This window comes from Homo sapiens, chromosome X (assembly GCF_000001405.40).
Source record: "Homo sapiens chromosome X, GRCh38.p14 Primary Assembly".
Lineage (NCBI taxonomy): Eukaryota > Metazoa > Chordata > Mammalia > Primates > Hominidae > Homo > Homo sapiens.
The window spans coordinates 19,569,790-19,583,415 of record NC_000023.11 but is presented as its reverse complement, the minus strand read 5'-3'; the positions used below and the strand labels follow the sequence as shown (position 1 = coordinate 19,583,415).

The window sequence follows — 13,626 nt, the reverse complement described above, 5'->3', positions numbered from 1 at the left end:
TGGGAGGCCTAGGCAAGTGGATCACCTGAGGTCAGGAGTTTGAGACCAGCCTGGCCAACATGGTGAAACCCTGTCTCTACTAAAAATACAAAAAATTAGCCAGGCTTGGTGGCGGGTGCCTGTAATCCCAGCTACTCAGGAGGCTGAGGCGGGAGAATCGCTTGAACCCGGGAGGCAGAGGTTGCAGCGAGCCAAGATTGCACCATTGCTCTCCAGCCTGGGCAACAAGAGTGAAACTGCGTCTCAAAAATAATAATAATAATAATAATAATAATAATAATAATAATAATGTGTATTAGCAATTGAATAAAAATGGGTTCCTCTGTGAAAAGAGTTCCTGAGACTTGGGAGAAGAGTCCAAAAGAAGAAAAAGAAAAACCCAAGGAAATGCTGGAGAGAGGCAGGCTGCCCTTAGCTCTAGTAATTGCATGCAGTGGAAGGCAGCAAGCAAGAAACCTGAGGGGCAGGGCAGGTGTGTACCCTCAAAAGGAAATAATTCTGATAGGGCAAGAGATAGAAGCAGCCTGACCAGTCCAAAGCAGGCTTGTTAATCCTCCCAAACTCAGACATCCCAAGGCATAAGGATTAGTCATTTTCTTCCCAAAGAATAGAGAAGCTAGAGCAGGACCTTCACTGTGAGTTGGGGAGCTTTGCCTGTCTCCCGCTGTAGCACATGCTCTCTGAGTGGCCAGGGGCAGGTGTCAGGGAGCCTTGAGTTAGAGATGTGGGGAGAAGGTCTGGGATGAAGGAGAGGAAGTGAGGCCAGCAAGGATGGAGTGGGAGCAGGGCAAAGTTGATGGCTGGAAGGAAGCACAGGAGATGGTGATCAGAAAGGGGAGGTTGGTGCTTACAACCTTGGAGGTGGGTTTGTTTGGAAGATGAAAACATTCGCAATGGTTGTGGCCACAAATGTGGGTGACTGAAGATGAATGAATGAAGGTCATAGAACTGAAGATACCGAGGAAGGAGGGGCCGGAGTTGGGGATGGATCACCCACGCGGCCACCATAGGCTCAGGAAGATGGCAAGAGCTGGAGTCAGGGAGGCCAGTGTTCTACAAGCCAGTGTCCTCCCATGGGTGCTGGTGTGTTCTGGGAGTTGATGATAGTGACAAGAGGGTTTGACAGTGTGGTAGCAGGTGGTGTGAGCCTGCTGGCTCTATCCTCTGTCGGGCAGAGCAGAATTAACAGCTTTTGCTTTGGCCGGTGGCTGAGAATGTCAGGATGGAAGCGGACCATTCAATGAGAAGGGTCCAGATATGGGGGAGTTGGTTGCTATGAATCAGACATCCCAGAGGTCACTGTCCATTGACTTTACATGTGGAAACATGTGCCCAGGAATTGCTTTCGAAGATAGGCAGTTGGATGATGGACACCAGGATGTGGGTAGGAGGCCCAGTGACTTTCCAGACCTATGCCACTTGGAGATGACCTATTGCTTTAAATGTTAAACATACCATGTGGACTTCTTGTGAAGAGCTGGAGGCTATACTGAGAGAATTGGAGCATAGGATAAGGGGAGGGGCAGCACGCAGTGGAATCGCTTTTTTTTTTTTTTTTTTTTAAACCTGTAGTGATGCTGGAGCACTGGATTTCAGAGAAACACTGGGAGTTAAGTGACTGATGAGTTCTGAAGCATTTTAGCTTGAGGCAAAGATTAAGTAAACATTTATATGCCAAACATCAACTAAGTGCATAGGGAAGGGCAGATGTCTCTCTTGGGACCAACTTAAGAGCATGGAAGTTAATTTTTTCTTTAAATTTACCAAGGCATCTTGGCTTAAGACCTTGGGGTTATGATGTAGCAGGAAATAAGCTTCCAGGTACTGATCACTCCGTGAGGTGTCCAACTCCCATGCCCACCAAAAGAAAGCATTAGAAAAGACCTCTTTGCTTTTATTAGGCATAAACTAATCAATCCATTAATCAAAAAAGAGGACGAGAAAGCTAGTGAGTGTGTGCAATGTTCCCTAAGTCAGCAGGTAAACTGAATACTTGGATGCTTAGCCCATCATTTTGAATTGGGATTACTCAGGTGTTGTGAATTTCTTTCTAAAGATTCCTAGTGATTCCTTGTGTGATTTTTGTGTGTTTCCCTCCTTTAATACAAATCAGGATGAAGACTTATCTTTGGAGAATTCAGGAGAGAAGTCTTGGCTAGAAATTACAGAGGTTGGCTTGGTGCAGTGGCTCACATGTGTAATCCCGGTGCTTTGAGAGGCAGAGGCAGGAGGATCACTTAAGGCCAGGAGTTCTAGACTAGCCTAGGCAACATAGAGATCTCTACAAAGTTTTAAAATTAGCCATGCATGGTGTTGCATGTCTGTAGTCCCAGCTACTTGAGAGGTTGAGGTGGGAGGATCACTTGAGCCTGGGAGTTCAAGGCCATAGTGAGCAATGATTGCACCACTACACACCGTCCATCCTGGGTGACAGAGTGAAGCCCTGTCTCTAAATAATTAAAAAGAGAAAAAAAAGCAATTACAGAGGTGGATGCCATTGGCTTATAGATGGTAGTTACAAGCATGGAATAGATATGACCACTGCAGGAGATTACGGAGAACAGGAGGAGGAAAGAGTAGAGACAGCAGCAGGGAAAATCACTGCGTACAGGGTGGAGGAAGGCCTAGGAGCCATCCAAAAGGGTAGGAGGAGTGTGATGTCATGGAAGCTAGAAGGAGGAAGTGTGGAGCAACTACTGATCAGCAGTGCTCACACCTGGGCGTGCATCCGAATCACGGGTGTTTAGGGGTGCTTGTTGAAACACAGATTGCTGGCACCCCAGGTTTCTAACTCAGTAGGTCTGAATTAAGGCCTGAGAATTTGCATTTCTCCCAAGCTCCCAGTGCTGCTGCTGCTGCTGCTACTGGTCAGGGGACCACATTGTGAGAACCACTGCCATCTCGAGAGCCAGGGACACCCAGGCTTTGCTCATTAGTTGGCCCTTGGTGATCCCAGTCGAGCAATTTCCATGCAACAGTTGTGGGCAGGAGACAGATTTGGGGTGAGTTGAAGAGAGAATGGGCAAGCGGCCAAGCGTGGGTAGACTTGTCTTGTGAGAAATTGGCTATGGAAAAAAGATGGAGAATGGGTGCTAGATATAGATTCAGGAAGGAAAGAAAATTTGTGTGTGTGTATATGTGTGTATGTGTATGTATGATTCATTTGTTTGTTTCAAATACTCGTTAAGTGCCTACCTTTGCCCTGGCCCTCTTCTAGGTAGTAGTTAACTATGGTAACCAGGCCCACCCACTGCTTGCTTGGGCTTTGGGGCCAGGCACACTGGGGTTGAAACCCCAACCCTCTTCTTAGATACCCTGTGACTTCGTGCAAGGTGCTCACCACCTTGAGTCTCACTCAGTTCCCTCCCCTGCAAAATGACACCACAAGGCCTACCTTGCTCAGGTGTGGAGAGTTTAAACAAACTGCTCCACCTCAGGGGCCTAGCTCATTGCCTGGCAACTTGAGAGGCACTTACTAAATCTGTGACCTCCATGGGGGAGGGGTTCCTGCATCAGGCTCTGGGGCCCCAAGGGAGTGGAAAAGTGAACATCCTCCGGGTGGAAGCATGAGTGGCCTCCCCCAGCTGCAGCAAGAGCCAGGACCCAGGGAAGGCCAGCAACTGATGGAAGGTAGTCCCATAGGTCACAGGCATGGGGGGAAGTACCTTGTCATACTTTAGGGACATCTGCATGATTTGCTGACCTCATTCCACTTGTACATATTATCTTCTCTCACTCTCTTTCCTTCCTCCCACACATAAAGTGAATCAACCATAGTGATGGGATTTAGCCTCAGCCCAGGCTGAGTCACATGGATTTTCCTGCCACTGATGGCCAGAATCAGGCAGTGAAACAGTAGGAAATGTTAACACCTCACGCATGCTTTGTACTAATTGGTTTCTAGAATGTGTTTTCCATGGGCTATGTCTTTGAGTAGTACGGTTCCTCCACACGGCACCCTGCAAACTTTTCTCACAGTCACATGATGATGAATTCTCGTTCCTCCAGACACTGCCCAAGATGGGGGCTCAGCATCCTTAAAGCCCCTTGCGCCTCTTTGAGATGTCAAGCTGTGGGTTTGCAGGCGACGTCTATGGATGTCATCATCCTTGTGCCATAGTGGATTGCAGGGCTTGTCAGGCCCTGGATGGGCTCTGGAGAGAGGCCTGCTTCCAGATATATTTGCAGAGTCTGCACAATGAACAGGAATTTGGAGGGGAATTGAGTGAGCACTTTCCCATCACCTTCCAGCGTGTCTTCACCATCTATAAATAGCCCAGCTTGTTTGTGCTTATCCAGACAAGGACGCACGATGCAAAGGGAGAGCTGCCAGGAAAACCACTCTGGTTTCTGCTTCTTGTGCCCCTGGCCTCCCTCTGCTTGTCCCACATTTAAATGGTACCACTTTTTCAGTCCAAAAGTTCCTGTGATTCCTGGGACATTTTTGGCTACCAGGTGAGTATGTGGGGACTCATAGCAGATAACAGCAGAACCTTTGGATTTGGATTTCTGGGAAAGGGAGGGAGGCTCCTCCTGCCCTCCATCTGAGGAGCAAAGGAAACTGGGATTACTGATACTCCCATTTTGTCCTTTCCTGATGGAAGGATCCAAGTTCCATGAGCAGTAACATCCCTCCTGGGGCAGAATGCTTCTGAAGGACTGGCTTTGCATCTGCTATCTTCACAGATGGGCAGGGCCCTCTTGTTGCTGTTCATTTGAGAGAAAAACATCTCTTGGAGCATAAAACCTGTGCACACGGATGCTCACTTACATTATTGCCATCCCAAATGTGGTAGGAAAAGATTGGACTGGCTTGGCATGAGGAACTTTCCATCTGGTTCCAGCTCTGCCACCAATCAACTAGGTGGCCTTGGGTATATCACTCCCCACTCTCAGAGCACAGGACCTCTGTCTGTAATAAAATGGGGGCTTCAGCTGGGTAGTCTCTACTCACCTTTAACAATCAGAGCTGAAGTCTGAGATGTTATAAGTAGGCAGCCAGGAGAGCAGGAAGGGAGCGCTTACTTGCGTTGGCCTTGTATCCTCAGGCACCCGACTGGACAGGGCCACAGAGGTAAACAATGAGATGCAGTAGTTTTACACTAGGAGGGAGTGATAAGCAAGGTTGCAGAGTTGGAGAAAGAAAGAAGATAGGTTCTCAGGTGACAGGTGCTCCAAAATCCCAGACTTCACTGCTGTACAATTCATCCACGTAACCAAAAATCACGTGTACCCCAAAAGCTATTGAAATAAAGTAAAAAGTTGTCATAAAAAAAGAAGATAGGATAATTCGAGTGGTTTCTCTAGGATCTGCACATTTGACATCCATTATCATCTGTTCCCAATGCAATGAAAAGTGATGAACAATAGAGGATGTGTGGTGTGTGCCTCAGTGGTTTCCTAAGCACAGGCAATGGGGCGTTTCTATTTCTTTTCCTTTCCTTTTCTTCCCAGCTTTCTTTCCTCCTTGTCAAATTTTGTAGGCAGTTGAAGCCCAAACACTCGTACCTCCTTTCTGGGGCACGGGGTGGCGGCGGAGAGGGGTGTGTTGCTGCCAAAAAGAGTCACCATATGGACTTGGACTCTGGTTCAGTAGCAATCGGTAGATTTGCTCTTTCTTCTTTCATCCTTGCTCACCTCCAAAAGGTTTGTGGGTTCTTTTTGGTATTTTTTTTTTTGTGGCTGCTGTTAGTGCTACTGCTAATTTACTTGTTTGTTTGCTTGCCTTGGCTTCCTGTGCACTTCAACACCTTGTCTGTACCACATGTCTTGGCTTAACTGTCCCAACGCAGGCTAAATTGGGCCATGCCACTGGCTGAGTTCATGGTCTCGAGAGATGCACATGGTGCATCTTCCACATTGCCGTCTGTGCACGAGCCCCATCTTATATCTTGAGTCTGAGTGGGAAGAACAGGCCCCTCTGGATAGGTCGAGTGCATGATTTTTGTTTATTAGTAGTACTTTTAAACTGAGAGAGGCAAAGGTAATTTACTTAGCTGGCAGTGAGCCGGGGTGACACAGGCTGCCTGGCGTCCTTGATAACTCACTGTCTCCAAGGCCAGATCCCCAGCCTGGAAGACCAGAAGGCTGACTAAAGCAGCTTCGAGAAGGAGTCAAGAGCTTGGGCTCTGGAGTTGGACTTAATAGGCCCAATTCTAGACCCTGCCACTTTACTGCTTTTATGACCCTTAATCAGCAAGTGACTTAATTTCACTGAGCCCCAGTTTCCTTATCTACGTAATGAAAACAAGGTTGTCACAGGTGGGGTTCTCTAGAAGGCATACCCTGAGCCAGCATTTAACATGAAGATATGTTTTAGAGTTCAATACCTATGAAGCAAAAAGGAAGAAGGATTGGGCAGAGGGAGAAGTCATGATGTGATACTGGCTCAAAAAGCCTTGGCCAAATTCGTGGAAAGTTTTGGAGCCAAAATGGCCCATCTGAGTCATCCCATGTTGGGCTGAGATGGCTGAGACTTTGATACCATGGGGTGTGGGCTGCCCTGGAGGGGAGGGAGTGCCTTGGCTGAGGAGGCTCTCTGCAGCTGAGATGGTCCCTGGAATAGCTGACAACTGGCAGCTGCCTGCTGACAGCACTCCCAGCAGGCAGTAGGGGCAATGAGCCCTTCACTCAAGGGGCTGCGCATAGTAGGTACCTCAAGGGGTGGTTGTGAGGATTGAGTATTTAAAGCATGCCTGTAATCCCAGTGACTTGGGAGGCTGAGGCTGGAGGACTGCTGGAGGCCAGGAGTTTAAAACCAGTCTGGGCAATATAGTGAGAGCCCCATCTCTACAAAAATTTTTTTTAAATTAGCCATGCATGGTAGCATGTACCTGTAATCCCAGCTACACAGGAGACTGAGGCAGGAGGATCACTCGAGTCCAGGAATTCGAGGCTACAGTGAGCTGTGATCATGCCACTGCACTCCAGCCTGGGCAACAGAGTGAGACTTTCTTTCTTTTCTTTTCTTTTTTTTTTAAGTGCTTATTCTAGTGCCTGGCACATGGTAGGCATTCAGTAAACAGTAGCTGTTGCTGTTGTTTCTTTTTTCTTTTTCTTTTTTCATTCTCAAAGGGGGTGAGCTGCTGTTATTTCTATGGGATCATAGGTTCTACTTATACCTGGTGTGGTGCTTGGGCTCGTCAGTCTCTTCTCTGTGATTTAGGTTCCTGCTTTAGTAAAACAAGGAGACTTTTAGCCAGTACTTGCCTATCCAAGTCATGTGTCCTAAGTGTCCATAACGAAAACTGCTAGGTAAAATATAAGAACATTGCATTACTTTGATTTAAAAATCAGAAACAAGTAAGGGCAACTTTCTTCTGATGTCTTTGGATATATGGTAGTATCTCCTGACTTCTCTTATGTTCTCCTTTTAGTTAACAGCTGTAGGCATAGAAACTCACCAGACAGAAACACTTGCAGGAGCTTGCAAATTACAAAAGGATGGGCTTTTTCCTTTTTCTCTGAATTTAATAACATCCCTTTTGCCAAATGGTACCCACATGCTGGGCAGACTGGGGAGAACAGGGACCACTGAGGGGCTGCATCCTCATTGGGTGTCAGCCACTCCAGACACATGCTTCACAGAATTTCAGAAATTTTGGTATTTTTCAGAACTGAAATTCATTAGCATTGTTCTAAGAGTCTATAAATACAGTGAAAGGCATTTCCAAATAGACATTGTAAAATGCTTGCACACCCACAGTCTGAACACTGTCAAAACACCAGCTGCAGCTTCCCTACTTGGAAGGATCAGAACCTTTTTTAAACTTCACCTACTGTGTTTTCAAAATAGGTTTGCTTCTGGTCCTGTGTCGAAGATCATTTCAACTTAAGCCTGTGTCTGGTGCTTGGCATGAGGGATCAGGGCTCAGTTGGAGAGACTGGAGAGATCCCACTCTCCTTCCTATCAACATGTGGCTGGTGCTTTAGAATCTGGGGAGGAGTGGCTCAGGGATGATTAGTTCCTATTTCTTCAGGATGGTCCCTTGTGGTTCAGGCTATCCGACCATCTGTAAGGGGCCTGCAGGCAAATCCCAGAGATGTAAAACACTCTCCTGAGTCAGAAGCCCCTCCCTGACAAGGGTTCACCCCAGGTCACACTAAATGCCACTTGAGGGACAGCTACCTTGGCCAACTTTGGAGCATAATAGTTTTTTCCTTTTATCCAGTGCCATTAGAACAATGCTCCTAAAACTGGGGATAGAGCGTCTAGTAGCTACAAGCAATTTGCACCTTTGTTTTTCATTTGTGTGGTATTCTTTATAATTTTAACAGTTGCAAAGACAAAATGCCCTTGTGGCAACAGTTTTCCACTGATAGCCGTTGTCGTTGGCTGTTTTTTGTTTCTTATGGTTTCTCAAACAGGGATGTTGTATTAGTCTGAGTGGCTTAACCAACAGAATTTATTTCCTCACAGTTGTAGAGGTTAGAAGTCTAAGATCAAGGTAGCTGCAGGGTTTGTTTCTTCTGAGGCCTCTTCTAACAGCCTCATTTTAACTTAATCACCTCTTTAAAAGGCCCATCTCTAAATACAGTCACATTTTGAGGTATTGAGGGGTTTCAACTTCAACATATAAATTTTGAGAGGACACAATTTAGTCCATAACAGACATATACATGGGGATCTGCAAGAATTTTTTTGTTTAAAAAGCGTTGACACTATACTCAAGTCTGTGGTCTGAATGTTTATACCTCCCCCTCCCACAAATTGATGTGTCGAAATCCTCACTCCCAAGGTGACAGAATAAGAGGTGGGGCCTTTGAGAAGTGATTAGGTCATTGGGGCAAAGCCCTCATGAATGGGATTAATGCCTTTATAAAAGAAACCCCTCTCCCTTCCACCACGTGAGGGCACAGCGAGAAGGAAGCTGGGTCCTCACCAGACAGAATCTGCTGACATCTTGACCTTGGACTTCCCAGCCTCCAGAACTGTAAGAAATAAATTTCTGTTGTTTATAAGTCATCCACACTATATCAAGAATATAACTTATCCACAGGTTATTTCCTAACGTGTACAAGGCCCAGAAAAATCACAATGTTTGCTTATTCATTTAGTTAAACACTTTTTGGCATACATAAATGTATAAAGCATTGTACTAGGAGGAAACAAAAGTGACAAAATCCCATTCTGAAGAATAAGTGGGGAAGATTACTGGGTACATATATAAATATGAAGTGCTGTGATAAGGGTTGCGATACAGGGGTGTGTTGCAGGAAACACGAGGAAGAGAGATGGATCTCTGAGTGCTAAAAGGGTGAGTTACATTTGCTCAAGTCAAGTGGGAAGGGAAGGAATTCACAACATTGGCCAGAGACATGAAATTTGGAGTCAAAGGAGATGATGAAATGTCCCAGAATTTGCCACAACTCACAGGACCATCTCCACTCCAAGCCCACCCCAGACTCCAACATTTCTCTGATGTTGAAATTATGGAACAGGAGCTCTAGATAGAACGCCTCTCGGAGGTGATCCTGTTGAAGCTAGCCCACCAGTCATTTTGTTGATGAAGCACTCAAGTTCCAGAGAGGTTAAGTAACCCGGCCAAGGTCACACGGGTGATGAACAGCAGGTTTAGATGTAGCACACCTGGCCTGGATTTTTAAGTCTAGGGTTCATAACTCCACCCCTGGCCTGCAAACCAGTTCCCGGGAGAGATGACCTCGTGGGCCACCTACTGCCTGGGTGGTTCTTAAAGGAGAGTTTGTGAGGCAGGATCCAGGCAATCTCAGCTTTTACCTTGGTAATACTATTGGAGAGAAAGGAGAGAGAACATGAGCTGCCTGAATTAGATAAGCCTCTAGTTGCTATTATTAAGAGTAAACTTTAGGCCGGGCATGGTGGCTCACGCCTGTAATCCTAGCACTTTGGGAGGCCAAGGTGGCCAGATCACTTGCGGTCAGGAATTCAAGACCATCCTGGCCAACATGGTGAAACCCTGTCTCTACTAAAAATACAAAAATTAGCCTGATGTGGTGGCACGCACCTGTAATCCCACTTACTCAGGAGGCTGAGACAGGAGAGTTGCTGAAACCCAGGAGGCAGAGGTTGCAGTGAGCCAAGATTACGCCACTGCACTCCAGCCTGGGTGACAGAGTGAGACTCCATCTCAAGAAAATAAAATAAAAGTAAACTTTAAAAGGAAGGAAAAATCTACCTATAATCTTATCCCAGAGATTACTACTATTAACATTTTGGACTATTTCTTTCTTGTCTTTTTCCTATATATATGATTTTGTTTGTTTTTCACCAGTTTTCCGTAGATGTGATCATACTGAACAGCATACAACTTCAGATATTGAGGGAAAAGTGCATTTATTGTACAAATACATAATGCATTCTCATTTCAGAAAATCTGGCAAATGTTCACTAGTTCCACAGATGTTTTTTGAGTCCCTGCCATGTTCCAGCTACTGAACTGGGTGGTGGAAATCACCCATCAGACTACCCAGGAATAACCACTGTAAATTTTCTTCCAGTCTTAAAATCGCTCTTCCTAATATGTCAGGAGGGCACGTGGGTATATGTGTGCTGCTGTGTGTGTTGTTTTTAACCTGCCTTTGTCCCTTAACATTGCAACGTAAGCATTCATTCTTGTTAGTATAAGCCATTTATAAACATCGTTCAGATGGCTATATAAAAGTCCATCAAATATCATAGTTTATTCAAGTGTTTTCCTATTTATGAAAGATTCTAGTTCTTTTCAGTTTTTCTTCATTACAAATAACACTGTGAAAAACACACTGATGCATAAAATCCATTTGGGAGGTGGAGGTTGCAGTGAGCCGAGATCACGCCACTGCACTCCAGCCTGGGCGACAGAATGAGACCATGTCTTAAAAAAACAAAAACATTTTACTCTTTTATATATAGACAGAGAGAGAGAGAGAGTACATATATGTGACATATATATGTACTATATATAACATATATGTACTATATATAGTATATATGTACTATATATAACATGTACTATATAACATATATGTACTATATAACATGTATGTACTATATATAACATATGTATGTACTATATATAACATATATGTACTATATATACATATATATGTACTATATATAACATATATATGTACTATATAACATATGTACTATATATAACATATATGACTATATATAACATATACTCTATATAACATATATGTACTCTATATAACATATATATGTACTATATATAACATATGTACTATATATAACATATATATGTACTTTATATATATAAAAGAATAGTTGAGAATGACAATAAAAGGAAAATAAGAGCAGTAAAGTAATAAAGCATAGTAATGCACAATAGGGTCCTCTAAAGTTTCTGGAGACGGGCTCACATTTGATTGGAAGCTTCCAGCTGTCAAATCGCAGAGGGAAACAGCAGCTCCCAGATTGACAGTTACCATAATACACAAATAAGCCACATGTTCAGAAACTGCTGAGCTGTTCTGAGATACATGTGATTAACTCATGAGCAAAACTTCATCTTTCTGCCAGCAGCCCCTCTGACTTAACCCCAGCTGCCCACAGGGTATCACCTCAAACCATCTTTCCCTCTTGACTGGAAAAAAAAAAAAAAGCCAAGTAGAGTTCACTAAACTCACTGCCTGAGTGCTCTCTTTCTCCTGGGCAGGACATGTGGTCTTATAAGTTTTGATCTTTGGTGTGTTTCAAAAAGGACAGAGCTGTCTGGTTGTGAGTATAATTTGTGTTTAGTCTGTTATTTTGAAGGATGGCAGCACCCAATCCTTCTGGGATCTGTGGATCCCAGGTAATGATGTTTAAGGGTCCCCAGGAATGTATTTCTTTATATCTGGGGAAAACTCTTAAAAATGAAAATGCATTTCTGCTAATAATTCTGCATTTCTGAAACATTTCATTCAGGTTACCTTCAAATTAGTGGGTGCTGGGGCCCTGACAGTGAAATGTTTTGAAATAAATGTCCTCCATCCTGCCCTTTCTGTTGGCTCGGGATCAGTCTGAGGCAATGGCCCTGGTGGGGCCCAAGCTTGGGTAGCCAGGGGACGGAGAGGGAGTCTGCTGTGGAAACCTAGCCTAGGGGAGCCCACAGCCTTAGGAAGTTAGGGTGAGGCAGGAAATAAAGGTCCTTCTCTGAAGCCTAAGCTGCTTCTCCTTTCCAAGTACAGGAGTTCATGCTCTACCTGAACTTCTATTTCAGCCTAGCTTGGAAGGGCCCAGCCAGCATCATAGCACACACTCCCAGGACAGTCTTGGAGCTGTATTTTCTCTTAGTGGAGGCCAAGCCATTAGGCCTAGGCCTGGTCCCTGGTATTCTTACCCCTGCCCCTCCTGCGGTGGAGGATGCTTGAGGTTAAGAGGCAGTGTTTTTTGCTTGGGAGTTGAGGAGGACTCACCTCCTTCCATTGGTCCTTTTCTCCCATCACAAAAATATGCATGTTGTGCCAAATGCGCCCACAAACACTCCCTTTTTTGAAACAGGATCTCACTCTGTCACACAGGCTGGAGTGCAGTGGCACGATCACGGCTCACTGAAGCCTCAACTTCCCTGGGCTCAGGTGATCTTCCTGCCTCAGCCTCCCAAGTAGCTGGGACCACAGGCGTGCACCACCACACCTGGCTAATTTTAGTATTTTTTGTAGAGATGGGTTTTCACCACATTGCCCAGGCTGGTCCCAAACTCCTGGGCCCAAGTAATGCTCCCATCTCTGCCTCCCAAAGTGTTGGGATTATAGATGTGAGCCACCGTGCCCTGCTCACCACCCATTCTTTGAGTGAAAAACGCAGCAGTCTGTCCTGTCAGCTCCCTGGTTTGGAGTTTACCCACAGCACCTGCCCTGACCTGACCTCCAGGTATACAGGTCTCCTGCTACAACCGTCCCTCGGCCCCTCATTGCCTCCCAGACAAAACAAGCCCTGTAGTATCCGGCCCAGCAGTCAGGTGTTCACCAACCTTGCCAGCCTTTGTCCTGTCACTTCTCTCTGAGGACTTCAGGCTTTGGTCCCGGGGGACTTGGCCACACTGGCACTCTCACCTACACTGGAGTCATTGCTCAGTCACACCTCTTAGGAATATGTCCTCTCTCCCTTTTCCTCCAAGGCTCAAGTGTAACACCACCTCCTTGCCCACTACCCTCTGCCTCACAGATCTCCTGCACTGACCCACTCCTTTCTTCTAATAGGACTGTGACACCTGCGTCTTATAGCCTAGGCCATGTGTACCTGTGGCTGGCTGGCTGTCTCTCCCATTTAGACCACAAGCCATTCCAGAGTAGGCACACCTCTGAATACCCACAGCACAAGTGGCACATGACAAGTGCTTGTTGACTAAATCTGGTACTACTCATTGTGAGGTGTAACTTCAGGCCATGGTGGCCTTCGGGGCGGTGAGATGGACTATTTCTGTTACTTTGCTGGGAACAACTGCTCAGCTTCTCTCTCTCATTTTATGGGCAAGGATCTTTTCCTATTTCACCGCTCTCATAGCCCTTGGATAAACTCGTTTGTGACTCATCCCCCCAAAAGGGTGCAAAGAGCTGTCTTGTGGAGTAATTTGGAGGAACCTTCTGTTTGTGCATGAGAAGGCTAGGTTTCTCTCGTCATCTTGGAGGCCTGTTCCCATCCCATAGAGCTGCTCCTAG

General features: G+C 45.6%; 1 protein-coding gene across 31 annotated transcripts in view; it reads left to right on the top strand.

Moving 5' to 3' along the window:
• Positions 1 to 13,626, top strand: part of SH3KBP1 (SH3 domain containing kinase binding protein 1) — a 353,624-nt gene that overhangs the window by 304,185 nt on the left and 35,813 nt on the right. The gene's annotated exons all lie outside the window — the stretch shown is intronic.